Raw genomic sequence first — 18365 nt, forward strand, 5'->3', positions numbered from 1 at the left:
GGTGTTTTACTTTCTGTAGTTAAGAGTTTTTTTTTAACTTTTTCTCAATGAGCATGGGCTACAATTTACCTTTCTAAATTGAGCAATGGTATCTTTATGGATATTTATCTTTCAGTCTGATATATTTTTGAGCCTATATTGTTTTTCAGGTAAAAAGCATTTGGTTATAGGTCCATAGGGTATATGCGCTTGGAATATAGATCAAAACAAGAACCAGAATGACCATGGCTTAAGCTAAGTTGAAGTTTATTTCTCACACGCATGAAGTGCAGAGGTCATTTACTTGCCTCTGCAGGGTATTCAGGGGCCTAGGTTTCTATCTTGTTTTTCTACCATTCTCAATGTATAGCTAACAAAAGCGATTAAAGAAGCCTACTTCATCTCTGTCCATCACATCTGTACACAGCACACCCCTTCCTGGTGAGGACGTGACCTAGGAGTCGGACACATCATTTCCTGTCCCAGCTCAATAGCCAGAAAATAGTAATGTGATGATACCTACCTAAAAGAGAACCAGGCAAAATACCCAGTTGAAATCCATTACTATATCACAAGGTTTCCGAACCTCAGCACTATTGACATTTGGGCTAGATAATTGTTTGTTGAGGGGGGCTGTTCTGTGCATTGTAGGATGTTTAGCACATCCCTGGCCTCTGTCCAATCAGTGCTAGGAGCACTGCCCAGGTGTGACAACCCAAATTGTCTCCAGACACAGCCAGATGTCCCTGAGGGTAAAGTCAAGCCTCTTGAAGAACAACTGCTAAGTAAGAAGAGAATAGATGCTGCAGACAACCAGTAACATCCGCTATAAGCATTGTGTTATTTCCCCCAAAACAGTGCTTAGCACTGAACTAATATATAACCTTTCAAATAACAAGTCCTCTACCAGGAAATCAAACATGCTAAGATTGTGTCAAATTTTATTTTGGTTGATTCTAGGATGAAAAGTCAATCCTGTCTTATTTTAATCTATTGAATCTAAATTGATATTTATATCAAATAAATAACAATTTTTATTTGAATACACAGACAAATGAAATATTCTTCCCTAGTGTGTAAGAATAGTATTAAGGATATTATACTGTGTTACATTTATAATGAATATCTCAGTTTAAAGTGTAATATTTCTGAAAGACTAATATAACAGCAAATATATACAGCAAATATAACAGCTCTATCCTAAATCAAGAATTTCATCTGCAGTTGATGGCCTGTCTCTTTTTAGGGCAATTAAGTGTCCATAATTTGATGCTGCTGTATTATGAATACTTTAAGAGTACAGTATTTTTCTGTTAATGAGGAGTGTTTACTTAACATGCTCTTCCTTTCCAATGAGGGAACATGCTTTGCTGCCAATCAAATTAAGGTGGAGATCATTTCAAAGAAACCATGAAACACTTTTTCTTTATTCTGCCTCTCCTATTAAATGTTGAGAAGCAAATCTTCTATCAAACAGATGGATATACTGGGATCTTGTTAAAAGGCTGCTTGATAAAAAGGGAAAGTTAAATATAAAGTGGATCTGTGTTGGGCTTCTTCCAAGGTTGTTTAGTGCCTAGTGTGTCAGAATAACCTTGTTATAAGGCAAATTCACCACATGGAGTGTTCGTGCCAGCCTAGGGAAGGCCATCATTTAATGGAACTCCAGTATTCTTATTTTTGAAAATGCAGATGCTGCAGAAATTATATCAGAAATGTCGTTGCCAATCATGAAAATAACAGAATACCCCAAAAGTCACGTATGAAATGATTCATACTGGGAGACGGGAGTAACCGGTTTTAGCTCCTGTAATGAACAGAGGCTGTGTAGAGGCATGATTGGTAAAGCTGGACCTGGAAGAGTGGGTAGGATACTGAAAAGAGAATGGAAAAGGACAGCATGGAAAGCCCAGAGATCAGTGGATGCAGAGACCAGAAATCACAAGGCAAGTTTAAGTGGGACAGTTTGGCTAAAGTGGTGGATTTGCATAGAGGCAAGAGGATCTCTGGCTTGTGGCCAAAACAGTAACTGGTCCACCAGAGTTTGTGCCCCCTCTTCCAAAGCACAGCTGGGTCTGGAAAGCAGCTGCAGAGCCGGCCCTCCTTGCATCTGAGCCAGGCCGTGTGGCTTATCCTTACTGGTGTGCTATGAATGAGTCATTGTCTGTAGGACCTGGGCAGTTAAAGGATGACACACTTAAATCGGATAATTTGGAAGGAATTTAAGAGGGACTCTTTTTATGAGAACACATGGACACAGGGAGGGGAACATCACACACCGGGGCCTATCGGCAGGTGAGGGGCAAGGGGAGGGAGAGCATTAGGACAAATACCAAATGCATGCAGGGCTTAAAACCTAGATGACAGGTTGATAGGTGTAGCAAACCACCATGGCACATGTATACCTATGTAACAAACCTGCATGTTCTGTACATGTATCCTAGAACTCAAAGTAAAATTTTAAAAAAGAAAAAAAGAAAGACTCTGTTTGCAAAGATGTGGGAGAAATGCAGGGAAACCATAAGGGGTAGTTCAGTGTCTTGAGGCAAAATGTACCTTGTTACCCGCCTCCCCCACACCGCCCCCCAAGCCATAAAAAGGTAAGAGAATGGCACTATTTCTAGATCCCAGAGTAGGAATCATCTGGAAAGATCCACAGAGAGGAGCTGTAACCTTTAGAAGGACACAACCAGACCGAGTCAAACCCTTAAGGAGGGAGGGATGGAAGTAAACACTTTGACCTCACTCTCAAACCTCCGTCCAGTCTTCTGCCATGGTGTCCCATTGGCCAAACCCAACTAGAAGCCAGAGGGAGCCCTTTGATGTGGCCTTACTGATGGTAACCCAGGGCACAGAGCAGGGTGAAGGAGGGTTGAGGGACAGGCCTGGGGTAGATATCCTGCACTGTCACTTCCTGGCAAAGGTAGGAAGAAGTGGATATTCTCTCACTTCTCCTATCAGCCAGCTGGACTGGGGGGATTTTACGATCCTAGGGGCTACTAGAGCTACAGGGATGCAGGAGCCAGGCTCTCTGAATCACCTGACAAAGGCAAGTGGATTATCATTCAGAGACACTCACTGTGGACTAGGTCCTATCAAAAAATAAACTTCTCTTGAATCAAGACATTGAATTTTAGGGGTGTGTTTTTTTTTATAGGACTTGGTATTTGAGGATTGATTTATTACAGCATTTAGCATTAACAGGAACTCAATTGTAGAAAGTTTTGAAGGCCAAGCAAAGAATTTGGATTCATTTCTACAGATGGTTAAAAATTAGTGGAGGCTTCTATGCTGGGAGGTGGTTTTAAAAGGAAAAACAGAAAGAGAGCCTTGGAATGATGAGTCTGGCAGTCACATGGCAGGTGGAATGGAACACAGTGAGCAATCCATTGATGCAGCTGGCCCAAACCCCATGTGATCAGCGGGACCTGTGAATCAGTCCCACACAATACAAGCTGAAGGGATGGAAGCATAATCATATTCCAAGTTCAGGTGCCAGCCTGCCATGTAGAACTTGGGGAAGGAGGTGGTCTAAGACCAGTTGAATGATCACCCCACTCTATGAAAGGGCCTGGCTGGCCCACTGTGAGATATGGAAGAGGAAATTTGGAAAGAGTTGTTGATATGTCATGAGTAACCCACATAAGGGAGAGGCTTGGGAGAGGGTCTGCCCACCATCTCAAGCCTAGAGAAGGGGGCTTCTGTGAGACCACTGAAGAGTGTGCTGTGTGCTCCCTGGAGCCTGGAGGATGCAATAGACTATAGTATTTTTCTGAAAAATCAGAAAGTTTTCAGAAGAGAAGTTTTGGTCAGCTGCTCTGATGACGGCAAAACCAAAAAAGGCTCCTTGGGGAGGGTGGGTGTTCCAGGCAAATGATATGTGACCATTGGAGGACACTGAGCTCTAGAGAGAGCTAATGTGGGGTCACCCCAGTCCTGTCTATGTGAAGACCTGGAAAAACAACAGGAAACTACCAGGCAGAGGAATGCAATAGCCATTTGCGGGGGAGAACTGCAGACCCCATGAGAGCACCTCACAAGAAAAAAAGATACATACCTGGACAGCCTTTTCAGTTCCTGGTACATTTTACAACTGTACTCTTCAAAAAACACCTTTCCTACCTCTTTTCTCCTCCCTCTAGCAACCAGTCAGAAAAGAGAAGAGAGGCTCCCAAGCCCCTCCCACTGCTGGAGGCCGGCTTGTGCCAGGCAAGCTGGGGGAAGAGAGAGATGGCTACCAAAAGCATATATAAGTTTTTATTATTATTATTATTATTATTATTAAGCTGGACTGTACATACCAGATGTCTAGATGAGACCATTTTTACAGATCTATGACTGGGAATAAACAGAAAACTTTTTTTTTTTTTTTTTTTTTGAGACAGGGTTTCATTCTGTCATCCAAGCTGAAATGCAGTGGCACAATCACAGCTCGCTACAACCTTTACCTCCTAGGCTCAAGCAATCCTCCTGCCTCAGCCTCCTGAGTAACTGGGACTACAGGTGCCGCCACCATGCCTGACCAATTTTTTGATTTTTTGTAGAGAAAAGGTCTTACTATGCGGCCCAGGCTGATCTCATACTCCTAGGCCCAGGTGATCCTCCTGCCCTGGCCTCTCAAAATGCTGGAATTACAGGTGCAAGCCACCATACCTGGACAGGACCTTTTATTCCAGAAGCCACCAGAAGGGTCATAGACCTGCCGTATATTTCATGCTGGGGCAGAAGAAAAATCTAACCCCAGAATACATTTAGAGGAACAGTGGGAGACAAAAATAAACTTGTTATGATTACATTTTATAAAAGCACAATCATTACATAGGTTTGTTGCATTAAGGCCTTGACCTAAAAGAAAAAGCTAAAAAGATGAGCAACTCCTAAACATGCCTTTGTCATGCCTCAAAATGTATTTTAAAACATAGTAGCAATACCTTCATTGGAGGACATTTCCATCCCAATATATAAAACATAAAATTTAGAAAACTTGGGAAGTACAAAACTTGAAAGCAAAAATCACCTAATATCCCGCTATCCAGAAATAATTGTACATTTTGGTATATTTCCTTCCTGTCTTATTTTCCTCCGTGGATATGTACACGTGTACTTGGTTTTTCTTGTTTAAATTTTATGATCTGTATTGTGTCCTGCTTTTTAAACTTAACATAGTATCTTATTTTTCTAAGTTAAGGATCACTTCTAAAATATGATTTAAGTGATGGCATAATTTGACGAGTCCATCAAATAATTTTGTCAAATATGCTAGATCCAGATTTAGGTTTATATATGAATTAACAATATGAATGAGAAAAATATAGAGAATTTGACTCATAGCTTTAGATATTCCATCAAGTTGTAGTATTTATATTATCAGATGAAAGAGCTACTTGTGGAGACGGTTGTCACCCCTTTCTTCAAACTCTCTTTTCTTGGTTTCAGTGAAGCCATATTTCCCTGATTTTCTTCTACTGTGTTAGTCACTCCTACGTCTCCTCCAAAGCTTTTCCTCCTTCCATCTATTTTCTAAATGTTGTTGTGGTTTAGGACTCTCCTTGGATACTCCCCTCTCTCTCTTGGTTTTCTCATTCAACCCCTTGGTTTTCAATATCATTTATATGCTAACAACTCTCAAAATGAAATATTCTCTCTAACCTCTATCCCAAGCTCCAGACTTGTATGTTAGCATCTCCAGTTGGATGTCTCATTAGCATCTCAAATGGAACTCTGAATCTCTGCTCCAAAATAGGTACCATCTTCAGTTTCCTCAGCTTGGTAAAGTGACTTCAGTCCTCTCAACTGCTGAAGGAAAATGCCAGGAGGCATTGCTGGTACTTTTCTGTCCCTTATTTCTAGTTTGCAGCAAATTCTGTCTCCCTCCCTCCAATATATCTCAAATCCACCTCCTCTGCCCATCCTCTCGTTCATCACCCTTCTCTAAGCCATCAGTATCTCTATATGAACCACTACAACTGCCCCCAATCACTTTCCTGCCTATAATCCCTCCAATGAAACTGGTTGTAGGACTATGGAAATGATACAGTTTGTGGGTAGGCAAACCTCCTCCTCTCTGAGAGGAAGTGGGACAACCTCTTGCTTCTGAGTTCTTCAAATCATTTCTCAAGTTCTTTCCTGTATTAATTTTCTATTGCTTCTATAACAAATTACTACAAGCTCAGTGGCTTAAATCAATGCAAACTTATTATCTTATAGTTCTGGAGGTCAAAAGTTCTAAAATCAAGGTGTTGACAAGGCTGCGTTCCTTCAGAGGCTCTAGCAGGGAATCAATTCCTGCTACGCTAAGTAGCAGCCAGAGTGAACCTTTTCAAATAAGAATGCTGTTCCCTCATTGAAACACATCAAACCATTAGGATGGCCTATAAGACCCAGATCTCAGTCTGTCCAGTCTTTCCAGCCTCCAGTTCTGGCACTTTCCCTGTTACCCGACTAATGAACTCATATGATTTGCTTTCAGGTCCCCGAACCTTACTGCTTCTCTATCCCTGGAAATCAACTCCCCTAATTTCCTAATGTGCTTTGTCTTTCCTCACCACACATAGTAATCCAAAATGTCAATTCCTTAAGGGCAAGACTCTGTTCAGGTCACCTTTATGTCCCCAGTTTGTACAAAGGACACAGCCAGTCTTTGTTGACACGACTTGTTGACTGGCCCATTCTCACTTTTCAGGTCTCAGCCTACAGATCATTCCTCAGAGAGACCTCTGAGACTCCATCATTCTTGAGTGGGTCTCCGCCCTTCTGACCTCAATTATTTCACGCTGTTCTTTCTGTCACTGACTTCATTTGTCTTTATGCATGTGTATCTTTGTCTGTTTAATGTCTCTTTCCCCCACTAGACTAGAAACTCCCATGAGAGCAAGAACCACGTCTCTTTTTCGGCTTATGCTTCGCACAATGCCTAAAATAATGCCTGGCTCATACTAAGTGCTCAGATCTTTGCTGGCAGAATGAACAGCCTCTGACTGAATGGGGTTCTGAGGGAACCTCTTCTCTCTGCTGGGGGCAACACGGGAAAAAATGCCAGGGTCAATCCTGAAGTAGAGGAGTGTGATCCACAGAATAATGGGACCCCAAAGAGATCTATGTCCTAATCCCTGGAACCTATTAAGAAGACATTGCCAATAACTTCACACACTTGGCAGGTGTGATTAAGTTAAAGATTTTGAGATAGGGAGATTATCTTAGATTATCCAGATGGGTCCATATAAAGCGAAGTGAGAAGATCAGAGTCACAGAAGATGTGATGAGAGAAGCAGAGGTCAGAGGGAGACAGAGATTTAACAATTCTGCTGGCTTTGAAGATGGAGGAAGAGGCCACAAGGAATGCGGGTGGACTCTAGGAACTGATTCCCCACCAGAGTCTCTGAAGGAACGCAGCCTTGTCAAAACCCTGATTTTAGGACTTCTGACCTCCAGAACTGTAAGATAATAAGTTTGCATTTTTTTAAGCCACTAAGCTTGTAGTAATTTATTATAGAAGCAACAGAAAACTAATACAAGGAAGAACTTGAGAAATGATTTGAAGAACCCAGAAGCAAGAGGTGGTCCCACTTCCTCTCAGAGAGGAGGAGGTTTGCCTACCCACAAACTGTATAATTTCCATAGTCCTACAACCAGTTTCATGCAATCTCTCTCTCTTTTTCCTTAGTTCTCTCAGTGGGAATCTATCCCTGTTTCTTTCTCCTTAATTCTCTCAGTGGGACAAATAAGTGGACTATGACTTGTTTCTTGAGTATAGGTTCACGGAGAGGAGGGAGAACCTGGAGCTGGGTTTGAGCTGTAGAAATGAAGGAACGTGGACCAGGTGTGGCGGCTCACGCCTGTAATCTCAACATTTTGGGAGGCTGAGGCAGGAGAATCTCTTGAGGTCAGGAGTTTGAGATCAACCTGAGCCATAAAATGAGACCCTATCCCAACAAAAAATTGAAAAGATTAGCCAGGCATGGTAGCATACACCTGAAGTCACAGCTACTTGGGAGGCTGAGGTGGGAGGATGGCTTGAGCCCAGGAGTTTGAGGTTACAATGAGCTGTGATCATACCACTGCACTCCAGCATATGTTGTAGAACCGGGGTGGTTACCGAAGAGGAATGAAGGAGAAATAATAAATAAATGGGGAGGCTGGTCAGCATCTCCCTTCCCATACACCCATATAAGAATTACTCTCTTGCTGTTTTGTTGTTGTTGTTGTTGTTGTTGTTGTTGTTAAGACTGAGTCTTGCTCTTTTGCCCAGGCTGGAGTGCAGTGGCGCCATCTTGGGTCACTACAACCTTTGCCTCCTGGGTTCAAGTAATTCTCCTGCCTCAGCCTCCTGAGTAGCTGGGATTACAGGTATGCGCCACCATGCCCGGCTAATTTTTGTATTTTTAGTAGAGACGCGGTTTCACCATGTTAGCCAGGCTGGTCTTGAACTCCTGACCTCAAGTGATCCACCCTCCTCAGCCTCCCAAAGTGCTGGGATTACAGGCGTGAGCCACTGCACCTGGCCCTCTCTTGCTGTTGACAGGTGATACTGAACCATTTCTTTATGGCCTAGTCTAAGGCACCTTGTCAGTGAATATCTCTGATTTAGAATTAGACTCTCAAAATCTATGGTTTTGGGAAAATAGATCTTCTCAGAAACAGAGAAAGCATTGGACCTCATCCCTGGTAAAAATGCACACAAGCAAAAATTTTCACATGTAGTTTTTAGGGGTTCATAAGGTCAGCTTGCTCAAAGGATAGAGTATTTGGTTTTTAAAATATATATCAGGCGTGGGAGTTGGTGGGAAGCAGACAGGGAGTAATATTCTAAGATAGGCTTCCAGTGTTAAGCTAAGGGGTTTGGACTTAATCCTCCAGGGAGGGCACTGAGAACCCATTAGAGGGCTTCAAGCAAGGCACTGACATGATCAGATTTGTGCTTTTGAAAACAATCACTCTGCAAACATCTATATTGGCCATAATCCCAACATTTGTTCATCCATTCACCTTAGGTGGAAAAATGCTGTTGACATGAAATGTTTTAATATTTCCTTTTAAAGCCAGTGATATCAGATGGCATATTAAGTGACCTAATTTTATAGATAGTGTGCTGTAGAAAGCAGTTTTGATGTAAGGACGTCAAAATCTTGTCAGATCATTGCTTTTCTAAGAGATGGTTTGCTTAGGCATTTGGTCTTATTGTAACTTTCATCATTATTATCTCATTGTTCGCTGCTTCTCAGCTTTTATCAGATCCATCTCTAGCAGAGAAAACTCCGGTAAGTAAAGCAAAATTGTAGAATGCCGTATTGGGAGCCTTCTAGAAGACCAGCGTATGCACACACTAGCTAAGGGATTTAGACCAAGTTCATCTCCTGGAGCCACGGTTTCCTTATCTATACTATGGCATTAGAAACCCTATGTAGCTATGTAACAGTTGTGACAATCAAATGTGATCGTTAAAAGACAGTGCTTTGAAAACCATAACATATTACCCAAATGCAAGCTGATATTCATTTTCCTCTTAGTATTACCATCATATCTGAACATGTTTGGGTTAATACAGAGGAGCTGTGAAACTAAACGTTTGTGGTTTGCCTTTATGATGTTATATGGTTCTCCCTTTCTCCAAGTATCAAATGCTTTAGAGGTTTTTCTAGTATCCAGGCAACATATTGCCTCCACTTAGCCCTTGCAAAAACCTGAATTAAAAATAGACTCTGTTTGCTGTGTTCTGAAACTTAAACCTATATGTTTTAAAGGAGTCAAAGGTTCCCCTTGGCACTCAAAGGGGCAGTAGTCCTGTCCTAGCACTTTTAGAGCATATGCCAAGCCATGCAGAGGAAAGTGGAGAAGCTCAGTTGTGCAAAGCCGGCAACCCACCACCGTGTCACTGGTCTGTTGGTGGTATCCTGGAGGAAGGAAGGGAGCTCTGGCGGCTTAGAGTTTTCAGGGAAAGGACTATTGGTTCTAATACTGCAATCACCAACACTTCACACAGAAGGTTCTTTGTCATCATCATGATTTACTAATCTCATCAGAGACACTCCAGGTAGTGTTTCACAGTGTTTTTTCACAGTTTCAAAGTACATCTGGCTTAATATTAGGATGTGCCTCAGACATTTCCACAAAGCAGACAAGATGCTTTTTTTCTATTTTATTTTTTTAATTGACAAGTAAAAATTATATGTATTTATTGTGTACAACATGATGTTTTGAAATATGTATACGTTGTGAAATGGCTCTGTTGAGTTAGTTAATTGAGGTAGTGTGCATTTCCTCACATAGTTATTTTTTGTGATGAGAACACTTAAAATCTACTTTCTTGGTGATTTTTAACATACGATCATTGTTATTAATGTAGTCACCATATTGTACAATAGATCTCTTGGACTTATTCCTCCTATCTAACTGAAATTTTGTCCTTGGACCAATATCTCCCCAAGCCCCCAGCCCCCAACCAGCCCCTGGTAACTGGCATTCTACTTCGAGTTCAACATTTTTAGATTCCATATATAAGATGCTTTTTAGTGATACCCAAATATATCACTATTAAAGCATTTAATTTTTACACAGACCTGGGGAGGAGGAAACTTTGAGGTGTCATTCCTAGTATGTCAGCAAAATGCCGCCTTTTGTTAATAGTCCCCATGTTACCAGTGGTGACATTAACGATGGTGTTTGTACAGCTTTACCAAGAAGTTTACAAGTTTTTCCTTGGCTTACCCGTGGGTGGGTATGATTGGAAGAAATAAAATTTTTACCCTTTTTTCACCAAAAGGAATGGCTCTCTCAGAGCTTTTGCTTTGTTGAGGTCAAACATTCATACTTAAAAGAGAACTTCCGACTTTGATTCTAGGCTCATTTTGCAAACACTGATATGGAGGCAGCCTGAATTTGGCAGTCAGACTCCACCACATACTAGCAAAGGGACTTGGGCAAGTCACTTAACCTTGCTGAGCCTTAAATCCACCTCTGTAAAATGGGAACAGTTGTTACTATGCCTCACGGTTCTGGAGAGGGTCAAATGAGTGAGGAGATTCTGATTTAGAGACAGTGGAGTGTAACTTGGGACTCTGGAGCCAGCCTCCCTAGAGGTGAGTCCCAGCTTCACCTTGTCAGTAGCTGTGTTACCTCGTGTAAGTTGCTAAACCTTCCTGAGCCAATAGAAATAGTAAGAGTGCCTACCTCATACAGTCGTGAGGATAAAAGGCTTAATATAACCAGAAAGCACTTAGAACAGTGCCTGCCATTTAGTAGTAAACACTACATTAGTATGTGCTATGATTATGATAGATTATGATCATAATTGTTATTATTCATATATCAAGTGCCTGGCATAAATTAGTTGGTCAAAAAAGATTAATAACTACTTTTATTATTTCTCCCATCAGAGCACCTGAAATTTAAATGCTCTGAAAGGAAAGTAATATTATTACCAGTCTGTTTTTGATTTAACTAAATATATAACAGCAGGGTTCTTTTCAAAATCTTACTCCTCAGGGACTCAAAACTTAACCTTACACCAGAGGAGAAAGATTTTTTCTTAGAACAAGAGCATATATTTGGTCCTCACTCCAGACCTTTGGAATCAGAAATTCTGGGGACATGACCGTCATCTGTTTTAGCAAGTATACCCAGTGATTCTCATGTTCCTGAAGTTTGATAACACTAGGTGTAGACTAGTCACAGCTTTGACTACCTTCTGTTGCCAGGGTGGAGACAAGAATTGGTTACTCTCTTTGGCAGGCTGTTCCAGCCCAAGAAGTGTTAAAATGATGTTATCGTGGTGGTTTTGTGAGTTAAGCAGATACAGATAGTTCTGGAAAGCAGCGTCAGGGGTGCGGTGCGGGGGCTGCAGAGCACTTGGGCAGCATGTGAACCTGTTGATAGATCTGGCTTAGAACAGTGTGGCGTATCGGGCCCTCTGGGAAGTGCTTATGTCACGTCTTGTGCCTTACCAGTCTGAGTGACGCATGGGAGAAGAGATGCCTTTTGAGTTTTTATGCAAGGTTAAAATGAAGAAAATCCATTTCAGCCTTTAAAAGTCAGAGCTACTGGTACAAAAGGTCACTGACGCCAAATGGTGGCATTGCAGAGCTCCGAGAGGGAGCATTAAAATAGCAGGGGGTTTTTTTGTTTGTTTGTTTTTTGTTTTTTTTTTTTAAGAAACACTGAATGCACTGTGGGCTTAAGTCTTAGTCTTTTGCCATCTTGCTGCCCTAGGATCTTAAATAAAAGGGCATGTGAAAAAAGAAAAACACGAAGACATTTTTCTACCTCCTTAAGTGTCAAGGATGTAGATAGTCGTCCTCACACTAAAGGTGACATAACCTTTATTGTAGAATAAGCAAAGTGATGAAATGATGCCCCTATGAGAAAGTAGTCTGTAGATGGACTAGAGACCTAGCCCTGCTCTAGATGTAGTCTGTTTGGAGGTCAAGTTTGGATAACTGAAGATGACACTGCCTTGGGAAATGAAGCCAGTCTCAGAAGTGGTGTGGAGAGGTTGTAAGATATTAATCTGGCTCTGTATACACTGCATTCGTGTTGACAGAACAGCATCCCAATTGATTGAAAAGAATCTGCGAGCCATCTGAATAGAAACAGTATTTAAGTCATTAAGAATGGATTGATTACCAGGGCAATTAAGGAGACCTGAGGATCAAGGACCGAATTCAGGGGACACTGCAATTATAGCAAATACAATATGAGAGGTCAGAGAAGAAGTGACAGGAGAGACTATAAGAAAAGCTGGAAGTGGGCCGGGCATGGTGGCTCACACCTGTAATCACAGCACTTTGGGGCTGAGGTGGGCAGATCACATGAGGCCAAGAGTTTGAGAGCAGCCTGGCCAACATGGCGAAATCCCATCTCTACTAAAAATACAAATATTAGCCAGATGTGGTGGTGCATGCCTGTAGTCCCAGCTACTCAGGCGGCTGAGGCATGAGAATTGCTTGAACCCGGGAGGCAGAGATTGCAGTGAGCCGAGGTTGCACGACTGCACTCCAGCCTGGGCGACAGAGTAAGATGCTGTCTCAAAAAAAAATAAAAAATAAATAAATAAATAAATATATATATATATATAGAAGTGGCTCCAGGACCATATTCTATCATAGAAATCAAGAGAAGACATTTTTTTCCAGAATAGACAGGTGTTCTCTGGTGTTAAAAGCTTGAAGAAATAAAAAGATATAAAGCATGTGGGGAGGTGGGGATGGGTCTTAGATTTGCTAAGTAAAAATATTAAATCAGAAAGAAAGTATCTTTTCTATAAAGTAAATGATCTTTATTACATCCATTCATGTCAGGGTTTCTTAACCTGAGCATTATTGACATTTTGGTCTGGATGATTCTTTGTGGTGGGAGCTGTCCTGTGCAGCATCCCTGGCCTCTACCCACTAGACGTAATGCCACCACCTCCAGTTGTGATTACCAAAAAATGTCTTCAGATATCATCAGATGTTCCTGGTGAAGAACCACTGATTTAAGTATTTAATTCCTACCATGTATGTAGCACTACATTAGGCAGTGCAAGGCATAAAAAGTATGACACACTTCACCGTAAAAAAATACATTCTAATTGTCCTAAATTGAGTTATTCTGTTATTTCTCCTATTATGTTGGTTAAAACTATATATGTGTATACTCATACACACACACATACACACACACACGCACACACACACGTATACAGTAGTTATTCTCCAAGTTAACATTACATCAGCTTAATTATTGGATGATATTAGAAAAGTAGTAAATGGGAAATATTGGTGTCCCCATGCTGTATGTTTTAGCACAGATTAATGTAAGAAATTATTATGGATCTATGGTGGGACTAGTAAGCAATTTCCAAATTAAATTATAAGAAACATTATCACAAAAAACATTTGAAAAGAAAGAGCTTTAATGTTTGGAATAGATTCTGCATCAAAAGAAGCAACTTATCATCTTGCCAAACCTCAGCCTCGTCATTGTTTTGGAGCAAGAAAGAGAATTGAACCTCACTCATGTTTTGTTGCCTGTACCATTGAACAAGGCCCTGACTGTTAAGACTAATGTTGAGACCCTTGTTTTCTTTGCAGACTGCATCATCTGCTATTAAAGGTGCTATTCAGCTGGGAATAGGATACACAGTGGGTAATCTCACTTCCAAGCCAGAACGAGATGTTCTTATGCAAGACTTTTATGTGGTGGAAAGTGTGTTCCTACCCAGGTAAGAACATTTTTATTTGTGATGATTTCCATGCTAAGGAACCTTCTTTGTGACAACCCCATATTGAAGGGCTTTTCTACTATGTACATGTTTATATGTACAGATGTGAATATTGGGCCTTTGGCAGGGCCAAAGGCAGTCCAAATGATGTTTACTTCCTGTTTCATCAGGATGTCTCACAATTTTTATGTGGAGATGGTAAATAGGTTTCATCTATGGACTAATTCTAATTAGTTGTGATGAATGCCTGGAAGACCATATGGAGAAAGATTTTGAGGTTCAGTGGGAAAGAGTGCAGTAATCACAGAGTAATGTCCGCCAAGGGTTTATAGAAAGAAGGCTTCCATGAAGCAGCAACTGGTGCTAGGTTTTTGCTCCCCCTAATTTAAAAGCATGGGCTGGTAGGCCCATAATTGGGCCTCAAATCTGAGTTTAGTCTTATCTCTTCTCTTTTATGATGACTTTAACTTAACTTTCCTCGAGAAAACATGGATAATCCTGCTGTTTGCAAAAATACCAAAGTTACCCATATATGTTGTCTCTAGCTTTCATCATTTTAGGGTGAGGGGATCAATTATTTAAAAACAAATACATCTGGAAATGGATGATGGTAATATGAATGTATTAATGCCACAAAACTGTACACTTAAAAGTGGCTAACATAGTAAATTTTATGTTGAGTATATTTTACCACAATAAAACTAATTAATTAAAAATTCTATTACTACGTTCATTTAGGAAGAGAAGAAGTAATCATTAAATAAGTATCACCACAAGTGACAGGATTTTTCAAATGATCCAGAAAATAAAAATAAAGATATTCAATTTGGGGACTTGTCTTTGGAGCTGTGAGAATTGATTTTAACATTTCTCTTAAAAATAAGTCATGTTATTACCAGGCTTGGGTAAACATAGCTAAAGTGACACTTTGTTTACCACTAGTGTCCTCATCACCTTATTAAAAATCTATATGTATCTTTAGAATAATTGTCTTTACACATTTATCTCTGTGTCTAGGTGTCAACTGCCTAAAAATAAAACCTGTTTGTGGACATGCAGTAACCCCCACATAGTCACCAAGGAGCAGAGCCCATAAATTTTTAAAAGTCAGCTACCTCGTTTTGCTTTAAATGCTCTTAGCTGCAGAATAAAGTTGGTCTACTGGCCTTTTGAAGTCTGCTTGTCTAGGGTCCTCTAGCAGCCATGAGAACCAGATTCCAGGCAGAAAATGGACAACCGCAAGGCCCAAGATATAATCCTTGCTTATGATCCTACTCTTCTTTCTATAGTTGGAAATGTTCTCTGTGTTTGTTTTTAACAGCCTACCATTCCAAAAAAAAAAAAATGTATATTAACTACATGTTTTTCTCTTAAAAGCCAGGGGGTCATGAGTTTATCTTCATCTTTTGGTATGATTTTTTTAGGCTCATAATGCTTGTAAGTGTGTTTGCAGGATGTTTGTTTGAGCTCTCATGGTCTCCAAAGGTCTCTACCCAGACATTTCAACTTTGTTGTTCTTTGGCTACAAAGAACAGGAGAAATGGAGGACTTCTGTGGGAGTGTGGAGACAGTGAGCTCAGGGTGCTGAGAGCATTACAGCTGAAGGTGGGGGTATAAAGACGTTCCATGTGCTCCCCCTATCCTCACTGACTGACCTCTTCTACTTCCAGTGTCCAATCAACACAGCCAACCATTGACGGGCACTTGGGGAAAGCATGGCTCAGGCATGAGGTCCCCAAATCCTAAACACTGGCACACCTGGAACTTGCTAGACATGCAGATTCTTGGGCTCCACCCAGACCAACTGAATTAGAAACTCTGTGGGTGGGAACCAGGAATCTGTTTTAACAAGCCGTCGGGGTGATTCTCAGCACAGAAAGGTTTGAGAACCACTGGCCTCGCCCATGACTTTCCACTTGAGAGAGAGAATCTTTCTGGTAGATAACAAATTTTGTTCTTGGAGTTATTACACGACTCTTACAACTAATAAAACTCAAATCATTTTTTAAAAGCATCTTAAATGTCAAAATGACATCTATTAGCACTTTGCATCTTTGGCCTTCACTGTCATCCAAGGTAGCAGCAGCAGGTGTGTCACTGGCAGAGGAGTAGCTAGCTGACTTTCCCTTATTTAGAGGCATCCATTGTCACATTTAAAATATAGCAATTTAGAGTATTTGCAGCCTATAAATGTGCACACCTGTAATCCCAGCAACTCAGGAGGAGGCTGAGGCAGGAGAATCTCTGGAGCCTGGGAGGCAGAGGTTGCAGTGGGCTGAGGTCCTGCCACTGCACTCCAGTCTGGGCGACAGGGTGGTACTCTGTCTCAAAAAAAAAAAAAAGAAAAAAATTACCTCCCTCATTTTCTTTATAATAATATTGTGTAAAATGAGTAAAAGTCTATAAGAAAAACTTTAAAAATTATTAAGTGATACACGTGTGTGTGTGTGTATACATATACACTCATATAATATATATCTACACACATATGCAATGGAGTAATAAAAATACTACATAATAAATATAAAATAGAATAAAACTATTTAAAATAGATGCATGAAATAGAAAGGCTAAATAGATATTGATGTTTGCATGTAGGCACATTTAGTTGGATTAAGTTAGATTTAAATTGTCCGATAGAGAACTGTGCATACAATTACAATTACAAATCAACCCTTTCTCTGGGCTGTCTAAAATAATCAGGTACTAGACCAAAAAATGACATGCTGTCTGCCTTACCTTTTAGTGACGATTTGTAGGAAGAGGAAGGTGGGGGCTGGTGAGTGGAAAGATAGTAGAGTTTGTGAGGGAATGTTCTGTGTGACTGAAGACAAAGGCTGGAGGTTCATGGACCAGAAGGTGTGAATCTACTCTGAAAGACAGGCAAGAGTCCAGTCCAGGGAAAAAGGTGCAGATGGTAGGATTTTGGTGGGTACTCGAATTAAAAAAATGGATTTGTGAGGCAATATTGCTGGGGTCAAAACCAAAAAATCAAATTGACCAGAGTGAAAAATAGCCTGGGTCCTAGCATGGCTCTGCTGCCACGTAGGATGACTGGACTGTCCCTTCAGGTTCGTGTAACAATCCATACTACTTATAGTGTACATGAAATGCTTTCTATTCATTCAAGCAACCTTACTAAAAACACCCCATGAAAATAAAAGTCTATATCTTCCCTTCAAAAAAAAATGGCAATACAATATTTAACATTTGATGCATTTTTTTTTTCTTGTTATTTTTAAATGAAAAAGAATTATTGTCCCGGTTTGGCTCTACACCCTCGGACTCCGGCTCCCACGCCACCCTGGCAGGTGCCGGCCTCAACATTTGATTCAGACCAAGAATTTCTTTCAGCAGATGCTATCTTGTTTGTTTAAGTAACACAGGCACACCAGATGGATTTACAGTAAACAGAAGAAACTTATGTTAGTCTTGCCTCAGTTTCATCATCTGGACTCAGTGTCTTCGTGGATTTAGCAAAGGGATTTGGCCCAGTGTTTCTCAATGGAGGTGCTATTGGCTTTGTTGGATAAGACAACTCTGTGCAAGACAGTACCTTTCAGGAGATCTTTGGTCCCCAGGCCCTGCCAGTAATATCTCCTAGTTGCTGTAGCAGTCAAAAAACCCCTATAAAGTGATGGATAAATTTAGTATCATGATTGTGGTGATGGTTTCACAGGTGTATATACACATGTGTAAAAGTAACAAATGGTATACTTTCTTGTATGTCAATTAAACTTCAATAAATCAGTCAAATAATGCTTTCTCTCTAAGTATTTCCAAGCCCATATGGGGATGAAGAAAGGGGTAGGTGGGCAGGACAGGCCCTGGTTGTAAGCATCCAAAACATTCTGCAGTCTCTGATGGCTCAACGAGTCTATCTGGGTCATAGAACTAATTACTTGAGGTACCTTGAGATGTTTTAATTTACTGCTTTCTGAAGTTGCAGAATCCGTTTCCCCTAGCAACCAAATGCATTGTGTTTTTTTCTTATTTATATATTTTGAAGCTGCTCAAAGTTATTTTTAAATATCAAGTACATAATTTGTCCTATGAATTATTTCATTTTGGAGATGGAAAAAGCCCTGGGCCTTTTTAAGATTTGAAAGAGGATATAAAAATCTCTTTTAACTGTTTGGCTCCATGATCTTCCAAAATGTGTTCCAAAATCTCAAAGTAGATAAGTAAG

General features: G+C 40.6%; 1 protein-coding gene across 14 annotated transcripts in view; it reads left to right on the forward strand.

Annotated features, from left to right (window-relative positions):
* PIP5K1B (phosphatidylinositol-4-phosphate 5-kinase type 1 beta) overlaps positions 1–18365 on the forward strand; it is a 303937-nt gene that overhangs the window by 144552 nt on the left and 141020 nt on the right. For all 14 annotated transcript variants that reach the window (XM_017015189.2, XM_047423951.1, NM_003558.4 and 11 more), the window contains one exon: positions 14046–14176. In XM_017015189.2, coding sequence (XP_016870678.1) covers positions 14046–14176 — 131 coding nt within the window. The remainder of the gene's footprint in view (positions 1–14045; positions 14177–18365) is intronic.

Source organism: Homo sapiens, chromosome 9, assembly GCF_000001405.40.
Source record: "Homo sapiens chromosome 9, GRCh38.p14 Primary Assembly".
NCBI lineage: Eukaryota > Metazoa > Chordata > Mammalia > Primates > Hominidae > Homo > Homo sapiens.